This window comes from Homo sapiens, chromosome 4, assembly GCF_000001405.40.
Source record: "Homo sapiens chromosome 4, GRCh38.p14 Primary Assembly".
NCBI lineage: Eukaryota > Metazoa > Chordata > Mammalia > Primates > Hominidae > Homo > Homo sapiens.
Window position 1 is genome coordinate 26,368,017 of NC_000004.12, and position 19,894 is coordinate 26,387,910.

Consider the following 19,894-nt stretch of genomic DNA (forward strand, 5'->3'; position numbering starts at 1 on the left):
TTTTCTGCAAGTTCTTGGAAATTTAGTCAAAGTACATAGTTCAGTTCTCTGAATTGGGCATGATATGCTCTTCAGAAATCACGTTTTGAAATTACAGAAGATAAATAACCTCTCCCAATCAGTGTGTTAACTACCCTGATGATGGTTGCTTGTCTTTGTACAGATGTGTGCAGGCATACATCTTTAGTGGTGGAGGCAGTAAATGAAAACATATGGATTCAGAGTATGGAAGAATTGAATTCATTTTTTTCTGTTGCTTTGTTTCACCAGATTCCCCCTATTCCACATTAACCCCTTGTCTTCTCCCAGATTATCCAACTCTTCCTACTCTTTTCCATAGCGTTGTTTTGGCTTTTTGGCATTGTAAGAGGATTGCTTTTTTTCCCCCTTAAGTTATGTTTACTCACTTCATTGTCACTGCTTTCCACCTCATACTGGTTATCCTGTTGGAAGCACGAGGTTTTGTGTTGTCTCTCTGTGGAATTTGTTTCTTCAAAGCTTTGTGTCTTTCCTTTGGTTGTCATCATGCATGATAGCAGCGTGTATTCTTTTTCTTTGGTAAATTTCTCCGCCTAGAGTGTACTTTAGAAGGAAACTAAACTGCATTCTAGTTTAGTTGGCCCCAAACTGAGATCAGTAGCCAGAGATGGCACCCAAGGGTGGTGAGGGGATTAAAAATGCCTGTAGAAGTGTTGGTGGCAGCAGCTAAGCAGCTAGATTAATCAAATGTGCATGAAATTTAACTTTAAATAAACTCCTTTGTTGTTGAATTTTCTGTGGAAAAACTAACTTGAGTGAGAAATTCTAGCCCTGGGGCAGGGATAGGCCAGAGATAAATGACACAAATATGCTTATAAAATGGGGGGTGACTGGGTGCAAGCAGAACACACTGAAAGCATTCATATTTGAAATAAACAGTCACTATCTCTGTAGGGAGCCAATTTTCAATCCTTGGTCTACTTTCCAAATCTGTTCTTTCCCCTACCCTCATTAGCAGATTTTGCTTATTTTGTTGACTCCTGTAACTCCATCCCCTGGGACAGTGAATAGTCATAACAGGTATTCAGCAAATATTAGCCAAATGAATGAACTTTTGATACTACTAGGTTTTTAAGACATGCATCTATCTTGTCATGGCAGAACAGGTCATACTCTTATTTACCAACCTCTTAATTTACAAACTGAGAGAATAGCTAGATATATAAGAAGGTAATCTTATTTTGAAATGATTTCAATTTCTAGAAATTTGTCATCACTGAACTCTTGTGAGGTGGGGATTGGTACATCTGAAGGCCAAGAATATCTGAGTGTGTTATGCTAACAATGAATCAATATTGCGCTTACAAGATTTCCCTTACCAAATGATTTACCCAGTCTTCACAATAGCTCTGCAGATTGCTAACAATTAACATTCCTATTTTACAGAGACGGAAGCTCTAGAATAACTATAAAAGTGTTGGGATTTTTTCTTTGTTTGTTTTTGTAGAAAAACCTGGATTTTGAGGAAGCAAAATGTGGAAAGAGTTTATGTAATAATTCACCAGATTTTTCTCACAGTGGTAGATATCCAAGTGTGAGATTATTTGATTGTGATCTATGCTCATATTCCACAGAAGAAAAGCTCTGTATTTCAACTAAAACATTTCCATATTTGGGGCTGACCAGATTTGGTTTGTTAGGAGGTGGACAGTTGCCCTTTTATGGTCACTAGATACTCCATTGCTCTCTTTTATTTCTCTTCAACTTGGTGGCTGTGACACTCCCTCAAACAATCTTTTCTTTCTCTTTTTTTTCACTGCTCTTTTGTACTCCAGTGTTCTCTGCTTTCCTCCCTCTCTCTTCCAACCTACCAGCCCCTTTCTCTCTCTTCTCCTCCCATTCCTCATTTACATGCAGCCTGAACAAACCAAAGAGTTTGCTGTACATTCTGCCTGTAAAAGAATAGTATGTGAACATTGCTTTTGAGTCAGCGAACTGGGCAGGTCAAGTGAGAAGTTATCTGACCAACAAGGATCAAGTCAGGAGGATGCTGGGAATAGCATAAATCTTAGATCTTAGGAGATTGTCCAAAAAGGAGAGAGCTGATCCAGGATGAGTAGTAGTTTTCAGAATAAAGGCCTTGTCAAATATAATAACTGGACCAGTGGTTTTAATTTTGGAGAAATGCTAGAACCAAACCAAAACATTGATAAATAATAGGAAAAATTAACAGTTAGAATGACTCCCTTTCAACTTGATTTTTGTTCCAAAGTTCAAATTTTTACTTAGAATTAAGGTTTTCTTTTCAATCTGAAATTCTTCTTTATATCCTGAGCTCCTAACATTTTAAAAGCACAGGTAATCAATTTGTTAACTAATAACATTATGTTTAATAATGTCATTATTTTCTTAAACACAGTGGTATATTATTGTTACTATAGTAAAGAATTGCCTGGGTGTAATTGCTGGAGATCTGAACATGGTGTATCACATTTTCCAATCAATTAGTTTTAGACTCAACAAAACTACATCAGGGAATTTGTAAGGTGTATTGAGAGACTCCCATTTAGATCTTGATACCACTTCTTTATAGAATCTTTCAAAAATGTGGATTATCACTTCCTTGAAGTGGCACCATGCTTCATTAAAGAACATTGCTTGTGGAGCAAGTAATAACAGTAAGCTATAGTGTTGTATCTTTGTAGGGCATTCTCCATAGGAAAGATAGTTCTATCAGTTTTAGCTACCTGAATTTGGTAAAATAGTTCCCTTTTCTCTCCATTGTAAAATTTGAAAAGTTAGGGTCTGGGTACACTGGCTCACGCCTGTAATCCCAGCACTTTGGGAGACCGAGGCCGGCAGATCACGAGATAAGGAGATCGAGACAATCCTTGCTAACACAGTTAAACCCCGTCTCCACTAAAAATACAAAAAATTAGCCGGGCGTGGTGGCGGACGCCTGTAGTCCCAGCTACTCTGGAGGCTGAGACAGGAGAATGGTGTGAACCTGGGAGACAGAGCTGGCAGTGAGCCGAGATTGCGCCACTGCACTCCAGCCTGGGCGACAGAGCGAGACTCCATCTCAAAAAAAAAAAAAAAAATTGAAAAGTTAATGTCAACTTACAATTTTTTTCTCCATCGTGGAAATTAACTTAAACATTACAGATCAGTTTTTTTAAATCATCATTTAACTGTGCTTTAATCATGTTAAATTGTAATTGATCTAAATAATAATGTAGTTTAATAGATAAAATTCCATAATAATCTTTTTGTTTTGGTTGCATGTGTTTTAACAGATGACTTGCTATTACAGTTTATTCATATAGTGAGCACCTACTGCATACAGATTTGTATTTGAGAACTCAATATTGTACACACATGAGTCATCTTGAACGTGAATAATACAAGCTTATAACTTTGGCCATATTTCTCTAATGGGCATGTATGCTATTAAGAAAAAATACTGCCCAGGATTAAAAGTTATAGCCTAAAATATTGAGTGTGCATTTCCAGTTTATTGTGGAAACTAGTTGGCATTTTTTTTTCTCAGCACAAATACAGTGGTATGACATTTTCTTCATTGCTAGGTTACTTAGTTATAATTCTTTAGGAGTCTGAATTTGAGTGATCTCTACAGCTGTTAACACAGATTTCCCTGGTTTATTTCACCTTATGCTATTGCTTCATATTCTCAAATTGGAATATTACAGTATTTCATCCTTGGGATTCAACAGTTTTGGTTTGCTGAGAAATCAATTACAGGTTAAGAAGTGATTTCTTTGAAACATTAAATAATGATAGGTGGTTTGTTTACTGGGAAAAGAGAATAAATGTTATCAGTGAATTGGGATAAAGTCATTATTTTGGAAAGGCAAAGAATATAAGTAGTTTATGGAACAGAATATGGCTTCCTTATTTGTTTTATATGTGGGGCTCATTATCTTTAACCTTTGTTGATCATTGTAGAGTCAGGAATGAGGGAAACCCTCACCTTGTGGCTTTCCGACCTTCGTTTTTCCTTTTTAAATTAGAAATAATGCTGCCTCTCAGGATTGTTAATGATACTTAAATGAGAATACACATAAGGAGATGTATTTTGTCTATTGCTGTCTCGTTTACTTTGCTATATGAAGCCAGTTGAGGAAGCTACAGGTATAAGTGGCAATGAGACTTCATCTAATCTTACAGATTTAGAGAATGGAGATAGAGAAGATAATTTGGAAATCCAGTTGATGGAATTTGTTAGTGAACTGCCTGTGGTGGAAGGCAAGATGAGGGAGGAGATCAGTAATACTAGTGCTGTAGACAGTAGAGACACCACATGACTTTAGGAAACATGCCTGTGCAGAAGTTGGTGAGAGGAGGAATATTAAGAATTAAATAGCTACAGTGGAGCTCATCTTTAAAGAAAAACTAGTCTCTTGTTTCTTAATTAAGCAATTTGACGTAGGGCGATTGACTAGACAGTTAACTAGTAAATTAACTGTAACACAACACCTTTGCAGCTTGTACAATTTGAGTTCATACATAGCATAGCAAAGTATCAAGTAAATACATAACATGAATGACTCAAAACTCTGAAAATCGTGTCCACTTCCTAGGGGCCTTGTTCTTGTCTTCTGCATTGCCACCCCGACTCACTCTCTCAAGGCTTTCCCTCCTATACTAGTGTTTCCATAAGTTACTGATGATGTGTACTTTAATCAGTGCTTGGTGATCTGGCCAGTCTCAATTCCAAACCTTTCCAAAGGCAAACATTGTCAGATGTTTGTAGAAGCATTAATGAGCTTGTAGTATTACCCAAGGCAAAGCAGCTTGCAGTTAGATCTTGCACCATCAAGCCTTGTGCTCCTGTGCTGTTTTTTTCCCTTTCAGAGCCTCATGGCCTCCTGTGAGGCTTGAGTGAGCAGATACTAGCTGGTGGGCCTGCTCTTTTGGTCCTAGCAATGCAGGAAGGCAACGTGACAGCTTAATGGCTCAGATACACGTTGGCAGAAAGCCAGTAAGCTTTGTATTGTGGTTAAGACCGCTTCTTCAAAGTGGTTTTCATTTTTACCACAAATGTAGGTTTGATCATTATAATGTAAGTTACAATTCAAAAGAAGAAATGTATTGCTTTGTATTAACACTCAAGCAAAAAAGGCATTTCCTTTTTCATGTAATGGTGTTACATAAAATGTTTTGGAAATCTCTTCTCCCCCATTCTGAACATAGGAATTTTGATTCCCATCATTTTATTTTAGTTTATTGCATTATTTTTAAACTCGTGTAGAATATCTACAATGTCCTATTTTATATGTGTTTAAAAGTGGCAATTGTCATCTTTAATTTTTTCCTTAGGGGCAGGCTTCTCTGAAGTAGCTTAACCCCTTATAAACCTGACTGATGGTCTTTCCTTTGTGCATTAGGCCTTATTCTGAAGGGCTCCATAAATGCTCTGGTCTCTGTTATTGAAAAGGAAAGATGCACTGCTGGATTCAAGTACATGAAAATACCAAACTGTGTGTCAAAGGCTTGGCTGCTAAGAAATTGGCCAAACATGGTTTGATGGAGGCTGGACTGGTACTGTGTCTGTGTAATTTCTACCAACAGAAAAAAGAACACAAAACCTCTTCATTAAATGGAACTCTATGTAGATTCATGTTCTTTTTCAATTTAGAAAAAAAGCGTTCTTTGCAGAATTCTGATTGATAGTGTAAGCCGTACATTCAGAAGACTGTCACAGTCCCTACTGCAATTGTAACATAGTGCTCTTGTGCAGGAAAAATGCAAGAGAAATTGTTTCAGCATCAGATTTATGACATACATATATGTGCACACACAAGTGTCTTTATGTGTGTATGTATGTAGTCAAGGTGTGGCACCCATAACAGATGTCTTTAGATTTCCTGAATTTTGTGTTTACAGCTTTATTTTTTACTTTTTTTTTTTTTTTTTTTTGGAGATGGAGTCTTGCTCTGTCACCCAGGCTGGAGTGCAGTGGCACGATCTTGGCTCACTGCAGCCTCCGCCTCCTGGGTTCAAGCGTTTCTCCTGCCTCAGCCTACTGAGTAGCTGGGCTTACAGGTGCCCGCCACCGGCTTACAGGCGCACACCACCATGTCCAGCTAATTTTTGTATTTTTAGTAGAGACGGAGTTTCATCATGTTGGCCAGGCTGGTCTCAAACTCCTGACCTCAGGTGATCCACTCGCCTCGGCCTTCCAAAGTGTTAGGACTACAGGCGTGAGCCACCATGCTCTGCCATGTTTACAGCTTTAGAAAACATTTTCTTACTTCTAGTAATCAAGGAAAAATTTACTCTTTACCCTTGCAAAATTTAGTCAGTACTGAAGGTTTGGGAAGGTAATGAAAGAAAGTTTCCTTTCAGATTTTTTGTTGCCTCCCTCACTCACACTAAATCAGTGCTATATCATAGAAGGTTTTAGGTCAGTTAGTGCACTTTACAATTCTGTCATAAAAATTCATATCCGGTCACCCTTTTCTTTTTTTTTTTTTCGAGATGGAATCTCGCTCTGTCACCAGGCTGGAGTGCAGTGGCACCATTTCGGCTCACTGCAACCTCCATCCCCCAGGGTTCAAGCAATTCTCCTGCCTCAGCCTCCCGAGTAGCTGGGACTACAGGTGCGCACCACCATGCCCAGCTAATTTTTGTATTTTTAGTAGAGACAAGGTTTCACCATGTTGGCCAGGATGGTGTTGATCCCTTGACCTAGTGATCCACCTGCCTCCCAAAGTGCTGGGATTACAGGCGTGAGCCAGTGTGCCCGGCCCCTGGCACTCTTTTCACAACATAGTGTCCATAATTGAAATGCAATTAAATTCTGTCCTAATGCAGAGTACGTGGAAAATCATGAACATTATAATCTAGTTAACAGAGTACGTGGAAAATCATGAACATTATAATCTAGTTAACATTTTGAACTGAATTTACCAGTATATGAACTTGTGCAAGGTAGTTTCTAAGCTGGTTTCCTCATCTGTATGATGAGGATAATAATAACTACCTGGTAAGATTGATGTGAGGGCTGGGCACGGTGGCTCATGCATGTAATCCCAGCACTTTGGGAGGCTGAGGCAGGGGGATCACCGGAGCTCAGGAGTTTGAGACTAGCCTGGGCAATATGGTGAAACCCTGTTTCTGCAAAAAAATACAAAAATTAGGTGGCCATGGTGGCTCGCACCTGTGGTCCTAGCTACTGGGGAGTAGGATCACTTCAGCCTGTGGAGGTTGCAGTGAGCCGAGATCATGTCACTGCCCTCCCGCCTGGGCGACAGAGGGAGACCCTGTCTCAAAAAAAAAAAAAAAAAAAAAGAATAATGTGGGTATGATGTGAGATACGCATGCAAAGTATGTAATATAATGCCTGCCCTCCAGTAGCTGCTATTGTAATGTACTTCATATGGATAGGGACAGTGTTTCTTATTTGCTGCTATCTGTTCCAAGTGTCTAGTGTGGTACCTAACACCTAATGGGCACTTACATGTGTGTTGAATAGTGAAAGGGAAAAGGAACCAGAATCTAGGAGAACAGTTAATTATTACCATTCTCCCTCATTCCTCTTCATCTCAGTTTTAGGTGAAATAGGCAAAAGAATTTCACTACTTAAACAATTTGAAGTGAGGGTGAGAAATAAGAGAGAAAATGCAAGGAAGAAAAAACTGTGTGACGTCTTCTATGTACAAGCCAGTTTTCCATAATCACATTGTGGATTTTCCATGGAAGATGTTCAGTCCCCATCAGTCTTTGTTGGGACGCACACAAAGCAGGCACGAAGCCCATCATGTAGCAAGTCAGGGGAAAGGGATGCTTGCTGCGTGCTCTCTGGCCGCCCTTCCTAGGGAGGCGTGGATTCTAGAACAGACTTCACTATGCTTCTCTCTCCTTTTGTATCCTTACCTTGATGGTAATAGGAACCATTTATATTCATACATATACTCCTCAGGTTCCTTTTTATCTCCTTTTTATTGCTAGTTTTGACAACTACTTGTCTGTTTTTTCTGTTACTGGGCAGCTGGAGCCACCTGACCTGGCACTAACATAGGACCCTTCACAGCTGAGCTTAGTTATCCCTCTCTAAGCCATAGTTTAAGGACAAACTAAATATATTTTTTTGTGGTAAAATATACATAATGTAAAATTAACCATTTTAACCAATTTTAAGTTTGCAGTCCAGTGACATTAAGTACATTGATGTTGTGAATGTACTTAACCATCACCACCATCCATCTCCAGAAATTTTCATCCTCCCAAACTGAAACTCTGTGCTCATTTAACAATAACTCTCCATTCTCCCTTCCCCCCAGGTCCCTGGTAGCCACCAATTTTTCTGTCTCCATGAATTTGACTACTCTAGGACCTCATATAAGTGGAATCATATAATATTTGTCCTTTTGTGTTTGGCTTATTTCGCTTAGCATGTCTTCAAGGTTTATTCATGTTGTGTTGTAACATATCAGAATTTCCTTTTCAGGCTGAATCATATCCCATCATATGTATGTATGTACCACATTTTTGTTATCCATTTGTTCATTGTCAGTGTACATTTGAGTTGTTTTCCACCTTTTGGCTATTGTGAATAATGGTACTATGAATATTAGTGTACAACTGTCTTTTAATTCCAGCTTCTGTTTTTTCTGAGTATATGCTCAGGAGTGGAACTGATGGATCATATGGCAATTCTGTGTTTAGTATTTTGAGGAACCATACTGTTTTCCATAGTGGCTGTACCATTTTACATTCTCACTAGCTATATATGAAAGGTTCCACTTTTCCCCATATCCTTGCCAACCCTTGTTACTTTATTGTTATTGTTGTTTTTTGTTTTAAATCAGAGCCATCCTAATGGGTATGAAGTGGTATCTCATGGTTTTGATTTGCATTTCCCTAATTAATGAGGTTGAGCATCTTTTCATGTGCTTATTGGCCACTTGTGTATCTTCCTTAGAGAAATGTCTATTCCTTTGCTCATTTATGAACTAAGTTTCTTTGTTGTTGAGCTTAGGAGTTCTTTATAAAATCCTGTATCGATATTTGATTGTATGTATTTTTAAGGCAGTATAAATATATACTTGTTTTGAAGGGACCATTTCGGTTTCACAGTATTCATTAGATTAGGTATCATTCAGTAATCCAGCCTTGAAAGAGTAGTAGTGGGCTTACTCAGTGCTGGACACTATTATAGTGCTTTACATATATGAACCTTTTTGATTAGAAGTACATTTATCTGTGTTTTCCATTGAAGAAACTGAAGCACAGAGAGTTTGAGTAAATTTCTTGCTCCAGGTCACACCGCTAGCTTGCAATAAAGCCAGGATTTCAATTTAAGCAACCTAGTTCCTGAGTCCATGCACTTAGCCTGTATGATAAACTTTGTGTGTGCTCTCATCAAGTGACACTTTTCAGGTCTTGAACACTGCTTTCCCTCTCCCAAAGATTTATCTTACTTTTTCCAGTGGCCAAACTAGAAGGCAGACAAAATCATCAGGGAACTGTGACTGAAATTCATAAAGGCATGTGTGCCATTTTAAAGGCAGTTCATAAGATGAAGTGAGGCGTCTGAAGGAGTTATTAGTAACAACTGAATAAACACTTGGAACCTCTTTAAAGTTTCATTGTATTTCTCTTTGTGGAAAACCCTTAGGTTTGATGTGATTCTTTGTTTGAGTCAGGCATATATTTTCTAAAATGGTTTCCCTAGTGAAATTTGCTTACTGAGACATTTTTTTCTGTAAATTCTTTACTTATCTGCCTTTCTCTGTTTTTATTTTAAGCCACTTGTATTCTAGAGTTGGTGCTTGAGTGGTCATCAGTTGATGTGTAGAGAATGCAATTTTATCTTGTGTCTTGTAGTTTACCTAAGCCAAACTTAATTGGTAAGACAAAACAAAACTTCTTTGTCAAATTATATAATGCATTTTAAAGCAAAATACAATCTTTGCTGCTGCCCATTATCACTAATAATCACGTGTAGGGTGTGTGGGTTTTATGTATACACTGCGGAAGGGGAGATGAGAAATGTAGACCTCATTTCTCTTTCGAAGTTGATGTTACTAACTGGGTGACTTTTTGCTGTGTGTCCTTAGTCTCCTTTAATCTGGGCCAGTTCCTCAGTTTTTTGTTTCATTTTGTCAACTGTTCCACAGTTGGGGTTTGTTCCTCAATTTGGCTTGTTCCTTATGTTTAGATTCTGGTTCTGTGTTTTTGGCAGTAATAGAGTATGAGAGAAGTGATGGTGTATTCTTCTTAATGTACCATATCAGGAGGCATTTGATGTCAGTTTGTCTCATTCAGTCTTGATATATGAAATTGGAGTAGTTTGCCCCAGAGTCTGATTGCCTCTCTTTTTTTGAGGCCATAGATTTAAAAAAATTCTTTTTGAGGCCATACTCTTCATTTAAGGCTTTCATATGAGAAGTTAATGGAGACCCGTATTCTCACAGCTTACTTGTGCTGTCTGGGTAGTGGGGCTTGTGTTAGAGATTTAACCCAGGGGAATCCCTCTCCAGGTATGGATATTTGGAAAGACATTAACTAAACCTGGAAACAATATTGGAGGTACCTAAAAATCCAGATGCTGAGGGTGGCTGCAGTTGATGCTGTTAGTTACCCTCATTTAGATCTTTTCATTCTTCCTGCTTCTTTACATAAACTGCTGGCAGAATGTTATAAAGAGAAGTTCATTGGTGTTTGTTTGTTTTTTAATTGAAAAAGGTAGAATAAAAGGACTTTTAAAAATTAAGTAAATGAGGCTGAGTGTGGTGGCTCAGGCCTGTAATCCCAGTACTTTGGGAGGCCGAGGCAGGTGGATCACCTGAGGTCAGGAGTTCAAGACCAGCCTGGCAAATATGGTGAAACCCTATCTCTACAAAAATACAAAAATTAGCTGGGCATAATGGTGGGTGCCTGTAATCCCAGCTACTCGAGAGGCTGAGGCAGGAGAATTGCTTGAACCCAGGAGGCGGAGGTTGCAGTGAGCCAAGATTGTGCCACTGCACTCTAGCATGGGCGACGGAGTGAGACTCTCCGTCTCAATAAAATAAATAAATAAAATAAAATAAGAAAACGGTGCTTTTCAGATGTTTCTGTACAGCAAATATAATGAGAAGGAAGTACATTTCTTCACCTGTAGTGGCCAGTTGCATGGCATGTCTTTGAAATCTACCCCATAGGATGTGGGTTTTTTTGTTTTTGTTTTTTTTTGCCACCAGGTCTCACTCTGTTGCCCAGGCTGGAGTACAGTGGTGGGATCATAGCTCACTGCAGCCTGGTACTCCTGGGCTCAAGCAATCCTCCCGCCTCTCAAGCAGTCCTCCTGCCTCAGCCTCCTAAGTAGCTAGGACCACAGGTGTGCAACACTGTATTAGTTTGTTCTCACACTGCTATAAAGAACTGCTTGAGACTGAATAATGTATAAAGAAAAGAGGTTTAATTGCCTTAGTTCTGCATGGCTGGGGAGGCCTCAGGAAACTTACAAGCATGACAGAAGGCAAAGGAGAGACAAGTACCTTCTTCACAAAGCTGCAGGAAAAAGAGCATGTGTGGAGAAGGAACAGTCAAACACATGAAATCATCAGATCTCATGAGAACCCACTCACTATCATGAGAACAGCATGGGGGAAACCTCCTCCATGATCACCTGCTACCAGGTTCCTCCCTCGACACATGGGGATTATGGGGATTACAATTCAAGAGATTTGGGTAAGAACACAGAGCCAAACCGTATCAACCACCACACCTGCCTAATTTTTAATATTTTTGTAGAGATGGGGGTCTTGCTTTATTGCCCAAGGCTGGTCTTGAACTCTTGGCTTCAAGTGATTCTCCTGACTTGGCCTCCCAAAGTGCTGCAATTACAGGTGTGAGCCATAGTGCCTAAGAAAGAAACATCTTATAGGATGTTTCTTCATTAAAAACATGTTTAATAGATGAGATTGTCCAGAACACATCTTGCTTTGATCACCTTTGTTAGTGGCCAAGGACAACTGGTTATACCTAGCCAAGTTTCGAGCAGCATTGCCATTAAATGTGGTTTTTAAGGTAAGAGCAGGTTCGAAACTAGAAATTGAAATAGGACAAAGGCTGACATAGTGTCTTATTCTTCTTGTGTGACTTAAGCTATTTTCTGCACCTGTGGGTGGAGAATGAGTAAACTTTTAAAAGTAAAATTACATATTTATTTAATAATGTATTTTCAAATATTAACCTCTTCAATCATATTCAATAGGTACAATATTTAAGTAGTTTCTGAATGTTTTGTTTTTATAAATTATATAGATGAACGTCTGTGAAGCTACATCGTTGTTCATTTGTTGTAATAGCATATTAGGTCCATAAGGAGATAGATTTGTGTGTCTTGTTCATTGATGTATACCAGCTACCTATAATTGTCCCCCTACTAGAGGTGCTTAATACTATTTGGTGAATGAACAAATCTGGACACAAGGAGCAAAAGTAGTCTTACTTACTAATGAGCCTGTTATGTATTTTTTTTGTGTGTGTAAATTACTAAGCAGCTTCTTAGTATCATTTAACTTTTCATACTATTTGTTATCATAGAATATAGTAATAATGTATATCACCTATTTGTTTTCTTCTTCTGGTTCATATTTGCCTTGGGGGTATGGATCAGGTGGCCTATTTTTTCTCCAATCAATTGCTGCTTCATGGTTCAGAAATCCCAGTACTTTTGAGCTGCCTAAAATTTATATACTGTTTACAGCAGATTGGTGTAAAGTTTAGTTTAATTATGAGTTTGGATTGTTGATGCTTTTTTAAAACTTCTCTCCAGCACATACTTCACCGTGTTTCTTGTCTTATTTAATTTTAATCCCATTATTTTATTTCATTTTCTGTGTTAAATAGAAGATTTGTGAAATAGAGAAAAATAAATTACTTCTAGTTTCACAACCCAAGGGCAAGTAGGGTGTCCCTGTGAGCTTGTTTTTTCAGCCAGCTATGTTTTTCGAATCAAAGTTCTACTGCTGTTACTAGACAGCATTCTAGATAGATTAGATTTTTGCTTTTTGGTTTTTTTTTTTTGGTAGCAGTGTAATTACTATATTTTTCTGTATTCAAGAAAGTTTTTTCTTGTTTTTTTTTTTCCTTCTTTTTGTGATTTTTGAGTTGGTTTTCTTATGTGAAGCATCTGTTAGCCAGAAAAGGTGTTAAGATGGTGTAGTTTTGATAACTTTTATCACATTTGTCCTCAATACATTTATGGTCATATTCACCTATCTATTTAAGGAAGTATATAGAAGCAAATTATGTGGTTTGGGAGAAAACAATACCTCCTCTGTGAGCAAAACAGAAGTATATATATTAATGTGTATGCAGGTTTTTTACTTACTTGAAAATTCTAATGGATTGGAGGATATGTGGGAACCTCAATACTATTTACAGGTAGGAAGCACCATGTTTAACGATAGATTGCAGCTTAAAAAAAATCTCATACTTCCAGGTGTATGAAATCAGATTTACCTACACTAACTAGCATTTTCCCCAGCTGTTCTTACTTTGAATATAAAATCATTGTTTTCTTAGAAGAGGAAAGCTAGTGAAATTAAAGTAAAATGAATTTGCTAGTTTTAAATTTTACTTATGACATATATATGGTGAAGAATGTAAATTTTCTTGAGCCATGGTATTATATGAGCCTTACTGGGTGGTGATGGTAAGCAGATGTTTTCTTTCTTCCCACTATCAGCCTGAGGGAAAAGTATACAGAACATAGAGCAAGAAGGAAAGGGCATTTTACAAATCAACTATATCCTGGTTCATTTTTGCTTTGTTTTTGTTGTTGTTGTTATTAAAGCCCAGAATCATAACTTTTTTCCTTTAAATGTATGCCAGGATTATTACATTTAATTAAAACTAGATTTTATATAGTATGCAGAAAATTTGAGAATCCTACTCATGCAAGTGAGATATTGACAGTCTATACTTAGCAAAAAGATAAGTTGGGTAGTAGCAGCGATTCTTTGTTACAATGAGGAATTAACTCATTTCATGGAGTTAAAAGGGCCCCTAGACACATAAGGATTGATTTTTTTTCCCATTGTTAAATACACCATATACCTATTATCAAAAATGTTTTACATAATAATTGCCTATACATGATTGGTCCAACTTATTTCTGGTTTGATTCTCAACAAGATTATGTCAGTAGACACCTTATTTTTAAAATAGAGTGCAAATAAAGATAAAAAATGTGTACCTTCTTTCCCAGTATCCCTACTTCAAGATGGAGAGACAGTATAATCAGTTATTGATTTATAATTCATTAAATTATAATCAATCTGTGAGTAATTGATAGCTGACTGCTGTCATTCTGCTGAGAAATGATTATTTTGGTTGCATAAAATAAATACCACATTATGAATTTTGTTTAATCAAATTAGTAGTGGAAGTGGACTTTGGTAAGTGCAGGATGCATGTAGTACCTTAGCATAACTTGACAGTTTTTAATGTGTATCCCTATGGAGATTTATTAAGTAATTAGAATTTAGTTTGATTGTGACCTCGGAATTATGTATTGTCTTTTTTTGTTTTATTTTGTTGTGTTTGAGATAGGGTCTCAATCCTGTTGCCCAGGCTGGAGTGCAGTGGCTCAGTCACAACTCACTGCAGCCTCCATTCCCAGGCTCAGGTGATCCTCTCACTTCAGCCTTCAAGTAGCTAGGACTACAGACTCCAGCTGCTACACCCAGCTATTTTTTGTATTTTTAGAAGAGACGGGGTTTTGCTATGTTATCCAGGCTGGTCTTGAACTCCTGTGCTCACGCAGTCCACCCACCTTGGCCTCCCAAAGTGTTGAGATTACAGGCGTGAGCTCTTGCGCCCAGCTAAAATTATGCATTGTCAACCTGCCTCATTCCTTTTGAGTTTTTTCCAGAAAACTAATTTTCTTATTCTTTCCATACTCCAATATATACAGTAACCATTAGCTTTAATGAGATAAATAGGAATGTGATTGCATATGCATTAGAAAGATCAGGATTGCATGCAATTAATAGAAATGTCTTATTATATACAGAAGAAGCAATTTGATCTTAGTAACATTTATGAGATTTGTAGCCTTAGGATGGCACCTAGAAGGATGTATCATTTTGTGTAAAATACTGTCCAGACTCAACAGGCAAATATATTGAGCTCTTTTGCACATATTTTCTGTGGGGCAGGAGTGTTGTTGCACAGGCGTGTTTTGTAATTGTCGACTTGATCTAATGGGCATTTCCAAAAAAGGACTTAGATATTTTAATTAATATTTACTTGTTAATCTAATATTGACAGAATTTCAGAGCATCAAGGAGCAAAATTTACAGTTGAATTTTGAGTGCGATGAATCTCTTACTAGCCATGTAATTAAACCTGTGTTAGAGCCTGTGTTGCATACATCCCAAAGGGCACTTGCTGGTTACATATTTAGTATTTGTAGCTGGTATGATGGGTGGCAGCATCATTAAAATGCTTTATCTCATTTGTTAACTGTGTGTCTCTAAAATTTTTACTATTTTAAGCCTTAGGTAGAATTTGGTCATACCTCACTTTGCCTCTCTTTATAAAGTATAATACTGCATATTCACATATGTATAAATATCTATATCTAAAGAAGTATTTTAAAGAGTATCTTAAACTTTCTGGCTTTTGTACACTATTCTATATATAACCTTTAATGAAGTTTTATTGTAATCGTATGCTACAGTGGTACATTTAATCGGTGTAAAAAATTGTTTTGTGGAAAAAGATTCAGATTTTTGCATTTAATTCCATAGCTGGAATTCGTGGGTTGATCAGTAGTTCAGTGTTTTGAAATCTGTGTTCCTCAGCTACTTTGCTGATGTTACCAGTAAAACATTGTGTTTTGTTTCTTTCTTTGTTTTTGAGACAGGGTCTTGCTCTGTCATCCAGGCTAGAGTGGACTGGTGCGATCTCAGCTCACTGCAGCCTCGACTTCCTGGACTCAAGTGATCCTCTTACCTCAGCCTCCTGAGTACCTGGGATTAGGGGCTCACACCACCATGCCGGGCTAATTTTTGTACTTTTTGTAGAGACAGGGTTTCACCATGTCTCAAATTCCTGCAATCAAAACAATCCACCCACCTTGGGCTCCCAAAGTGCTAGGATTACAGGCATGAGCTACCATGCCTTGCCTTGTTTCTTGATTTTAGAAATTGAATATCATGTGGGATAAAATCAAGCAGAACTAATTATACATCTTCTTTCAAAAACTTGGGTTATTTGCCCATTTTTTGTGCTATTTCAATTAAAGCCATTTTTCAATATTTTAGGTTTAATGAAAATACTAAAATATTCCAGTCACAGATACTTAATTGCTTGTGAATTATCAATTCATAAACAGTATCTTAGGACAAATGAACAAAATGAACTAAATGGGATCCTATGACTTTTATCATCAAAGTTAATAATCTTGTGGAACATTACAAATACAGTAGAGAAATCTTTAAGTCAAATAAGACTTCATATCCTATAACTGTGTTTATGAACAAGTTACTTAACTGTTTATAATTGTAGTCTTGCTTCAAGGTCTTTTTCAAGTGCTGTGTCTTCACTGTCTCAGAAGTTTACACTTCCTATTTCAGAGGAAATAACAGGTTATCACATAGAAACCACAGTTTATTCTCCATATACTTATTTATCTCTATTAAAATCGTATTTAGTTCCTTTAGTTATTTTGGCTTAACTACTTATAGCTAAAAACGATAATAATTACTAGCTATTATTGAGTATTTACTGTGTTTCAGGCACTATTCCCTCTCCTCCTCTCTCCTCTCCCCTCTCCCCCTCCCCTCTCGCCTCTCCCCTCTCCCCCTCCCCTCTCACCTCTCCCCTCCCGCCTCTTGCCTCTCCCCTCCCGCCTCTCGCCTCTCCCCTCTCCCCTCTTGCCTCTTGCCTCTCCCCTCTCCCCTCCCCTCTCTCTTCCCCTCTCCCCTCCCCTCTCCCCTCCCCTCTCCCCTCCCCTCTCTCCTCCCCTCTCCCCTCTCCTCCCCTCCCCCCTTTCCTTTCCTCTCGTCTTTCCTCTTTTTGATGGAGTCCTGCTCTGTCTCTCATGCTGGAGTGCAGTGGCGTGATCTTGGCTCACTGCAACCACTGCCTCCTGGGTTCAAGCGATTCTCCTGCCTCAGCCTCCCAAGTAGCTGGGATTACAGGCGCGTGCCACCACACCCGGCTAATTTTTGTATTTTTAGTAGAGGCAGGGTTTCACCATGTTGGCCAGGCTGGTCTCGAACTCCTGACCTCAGGTGATCTGCCTGCCTCGGCCTCCCAAAGTACTGGGATTACAGGTGTGAGCCACTGCGCCCAGCCTTATGTGTTTTCTGTATATTAATTAATATGTTTAATTCCCTCAACAACTCTTTGAGGTAAGCACAGTCACTGTGTCCTTTTTACAGATGAGGAAACAGGTCTAGAAAGTCAAGTAACTTCAGGGTTACACAGCAAGTAAATATGGAATCATGGATTTGAACCCAGCCAATCTTACTCTAGAGTCTTTATCTTAACTGCCATGTTGTACTCCAGTTCCAGCCTGAATTGTGCTTTCTTGCCTTTGCTCTTGCTTTTCTCTTTGCCCTCTCCCAACCAGTTGAAATGCTTCTATGTTAGGCCATTTTAAAAATAGGCAAATTAAATAGTTAAAATCTGGGAAGTCTCATCTCTGCCTAATGCTTAATTACTTTGTGACATTGGGCTTGTTGCTTTTTACATTTTTAAAATGAAGCCTATGTATACCCACTAGAATTTTCTTTTTCTTTTTCTTTTCTTTTTTTTTAATATATTATTTATTTATTTTTTTATTTTATTTTTTTGAGACAGAGTCTTGCTGTGTCACCCAGGCTGGAGTGCAGTGGCACGATCATGACTCACTGCACCCTTGAACCCTTGGGCTCAGTCTCTTGTCCCACTTCAGCCTCCTGAGTAGCTGCAACTACAGACAAGCACCACAACACCAGGCTAATAGAATTATTTTATAATGATTACATAGGGTATATAACGAATGTATAGCATAGTGCCTGACACATGATAAACTTTGTGAGGGTCTTTGGCTAGCTGTTTTATTGGTAAGTCGTCTCTAAAAGATACCTGTCCTCCCCATCTAATCAGTGTGTTACTTGTTCAGAGTGCATTTGTAAGGCTTACTTAGGGCATGTTGTTTGCATGTTTAAATGTGTGTTTTGTAATTTTGGGATACAGATGCTTACCAGAGGATTTCTGTCTTCATGTTCTTCAGTGAGATTGAAGTATAAGTCATAAAAGAGATTTTATGATGCCTGAAAAGCTTTCTGTAGAGTGTATCATAAAGCTTACTTAACTTTATTTTCTTTATTTTTTTTTTTCCAGGAAATTTGGTGAGCGGCCTCCACCTAAACGACTTACTAGGTGAGTATTATATTAGTCAGCTTTTTACACATACATTTTATGAAAGTATAAATCTTATTGTTTTAGATATTATATTAATAGGTACCCTTAAAGTCATTCAAATATTACTGTCTAGAGCATAAACTTATTCTCAAACTTCCTTTCCCTCATCTCTCCTCCCGTCCCTCACCAAAAACAGGAACAAAAGGATATAGTTGAAAAGGGAAAATGAAACCTTTCTTAGAATTAGTCTTGAGTCTTATGTAGTGAATACAACATGGACGGCAGTGCAGGTAGCTTTCTATATCTAGCTATGGTTAGCCCATCACAATTTGTTGATTGCAGGTAAGATTTGAAAGTAAATGCTTTTAGGAAAGAATTTTAAGGAAAACAGTTTTTACCCATTTTAAGAAAACACACGTTTTATCTATTTTTAATGAGTATAAGTTGTACAATATACATTTTAATTATGAATGTTGAAAGTATTGGTCTTAAAAATGATTTTTAAAATTTCTAGCAGCCAGAATTGTAAAATAAAGAGACCTAGTTCTATGGCCATGTCCTAGAGTCAGTGCAAACCTTGCGTTTTTAGCAGTTTATTTTTGGTGTCTTTCAAGAAAATGAGATATATATATATATGTATATGTATGTATGTGTCTGTCCTTTTTCTTCATAAACTCAACTGAGATCACACTCTATCATTGTTCTACACCTTTTCACGCCACTTAACAGTACATCTTCTACCTTGATATTTCCCCTTAATGGCTCCATGGTTTTTCATAGCTTTCATACCACTTTTAATATTTCACATTGATGACCATTTAGGTCATTTCCAAATTATTGCTATTATTTTAAAAAGCTGTTACACTTAAAGAACGATGGGGACCTACAGAAGGATACAAAGGACAGTTTGAAGGGGAAATCTGGGACACTTTGGTTATCAAGGTAAATAATGATAGTAATGGATTAAAACCTGTATAATAAAACAACAGCTTTGAAGTCTATACTGAGATAATTAATCTCAGGATAAATATTATTTATATAAATAAAAGTCATTTATAATTAATAAATGGGGCAAAGAGGATAGCTTTTCCTTACAGATGCATGTCGCCTAATAAATGTAGAAGGACAAAAACCTGGACAAAATATGTAAAAACCGTTTTCCAGGTATTGAACATCAGGTATAGAAGGATAAGTGATTCCTGAGAAACTGGGAGTCCACAGAGGGCAAGACAGTTAGCAGGGCTGCAAAGTGGAGAGGAATTAACTGTATAAAGAGGTCCAGAGATCTACAGAGGTTTCCTTTCAGTCTTCAGCTGCATATTGATCAGCATGCGTGTGTAAGAAAACTACTCCGTGGTGGGGATTGGGGAAAAATATCCCAAAAAATCAGAGGAAACAATTTCTAAAGTTCACTTAGGGCTATGAATTGTGCCTGTTAACAGTAGCCAGAGTGGAAAAATCTCATAATTTATGGGGCATTCGCTAGAGTGCTCAGAAGGGTTTTGTTTCAGTAGTGATATAAAATTGGGTCCAGGCA

At 37.8% G+C, this 19,894-nt stretch overlaps 1 protein-coding gene across 18 annotated transcripts in view, besides 4 other annotated features; it reads left to right on the plus strand.

Moving 5' to 3' along the window:
* The window catches only part of RBPJ (recombination signal binding protein for immunoglobulin kappa J region), a 329,683-nt gene that overhangs the window by 262,568 nt on the left and 47,221 nt on the right, over positions 1-19,894 (plus strand). For all 18 annotated transcript variants that reach the window (XM_047415656.1, NM_001374401.1, NM_001379407.1 and 15 more), the window contains one exon: positions 18,337-18,375. In XM_047415656.1, the coding sequence (XP_047271612.1) occupies positions 18,337-18,375 (39 nt within the window). The remainder of the gene's footprint in view (positions 1-18,336; positions 18,376-19,894) is intronic.
* Positions 4,354-4,854: an enhancer, noted in NCBI's record as "NANOG-H3K4me1 hESC enhancer chr4:26373992-26374492 (GRCh37/hg19 assembly coordinates)". NCBI's record gives its function as "activates a minimal SCP1, AML or CMV promoter by ChIP-STARR-seq in naive H9 embryonic stem cells {active_cell/tissue: H9 hESC(naive)}" and the evidence as "EXISTENCE:reporter gene assay evidence [ECO:0000049][PMID:30033119]".
* Positions 4,354-4,945: a biological region, named in NCBI's record as "Sharpr-MPRA regulatory region 2944".
* Positions 4,651-4,945: a silencer, noted in NCBI's record as "tiled region #2944; HepG2 Repressive DNase matched - State 8:EnhW, and K562 Repressive non-DNase unmatched - State 5:Enh". NCBI's record gives its function as "represses a minimal TATA promoter and a strong SV40 promoter by Sharpr-MPRA in HepG2 and K562 cells {active_cell/tissue: HepG2 | K562}" and the evidence as "EXISTENCE:reporter gene assay evidence [ECO:0000049][PMID:27701403]".
* Positions 5,030-5,079: an enhancer, noted in NCBI's record as "active region_21397". NCBI's record gives its function as "activates an Ori minimal core promoter by ATAC-STARR-seq in GM12878 lymphoblastoid cells {active_cell/tissue: GM12878}" and the evidence as "EXISTENCE:reporter gene assay evidence [ECO:0000049][PMID:35858748]".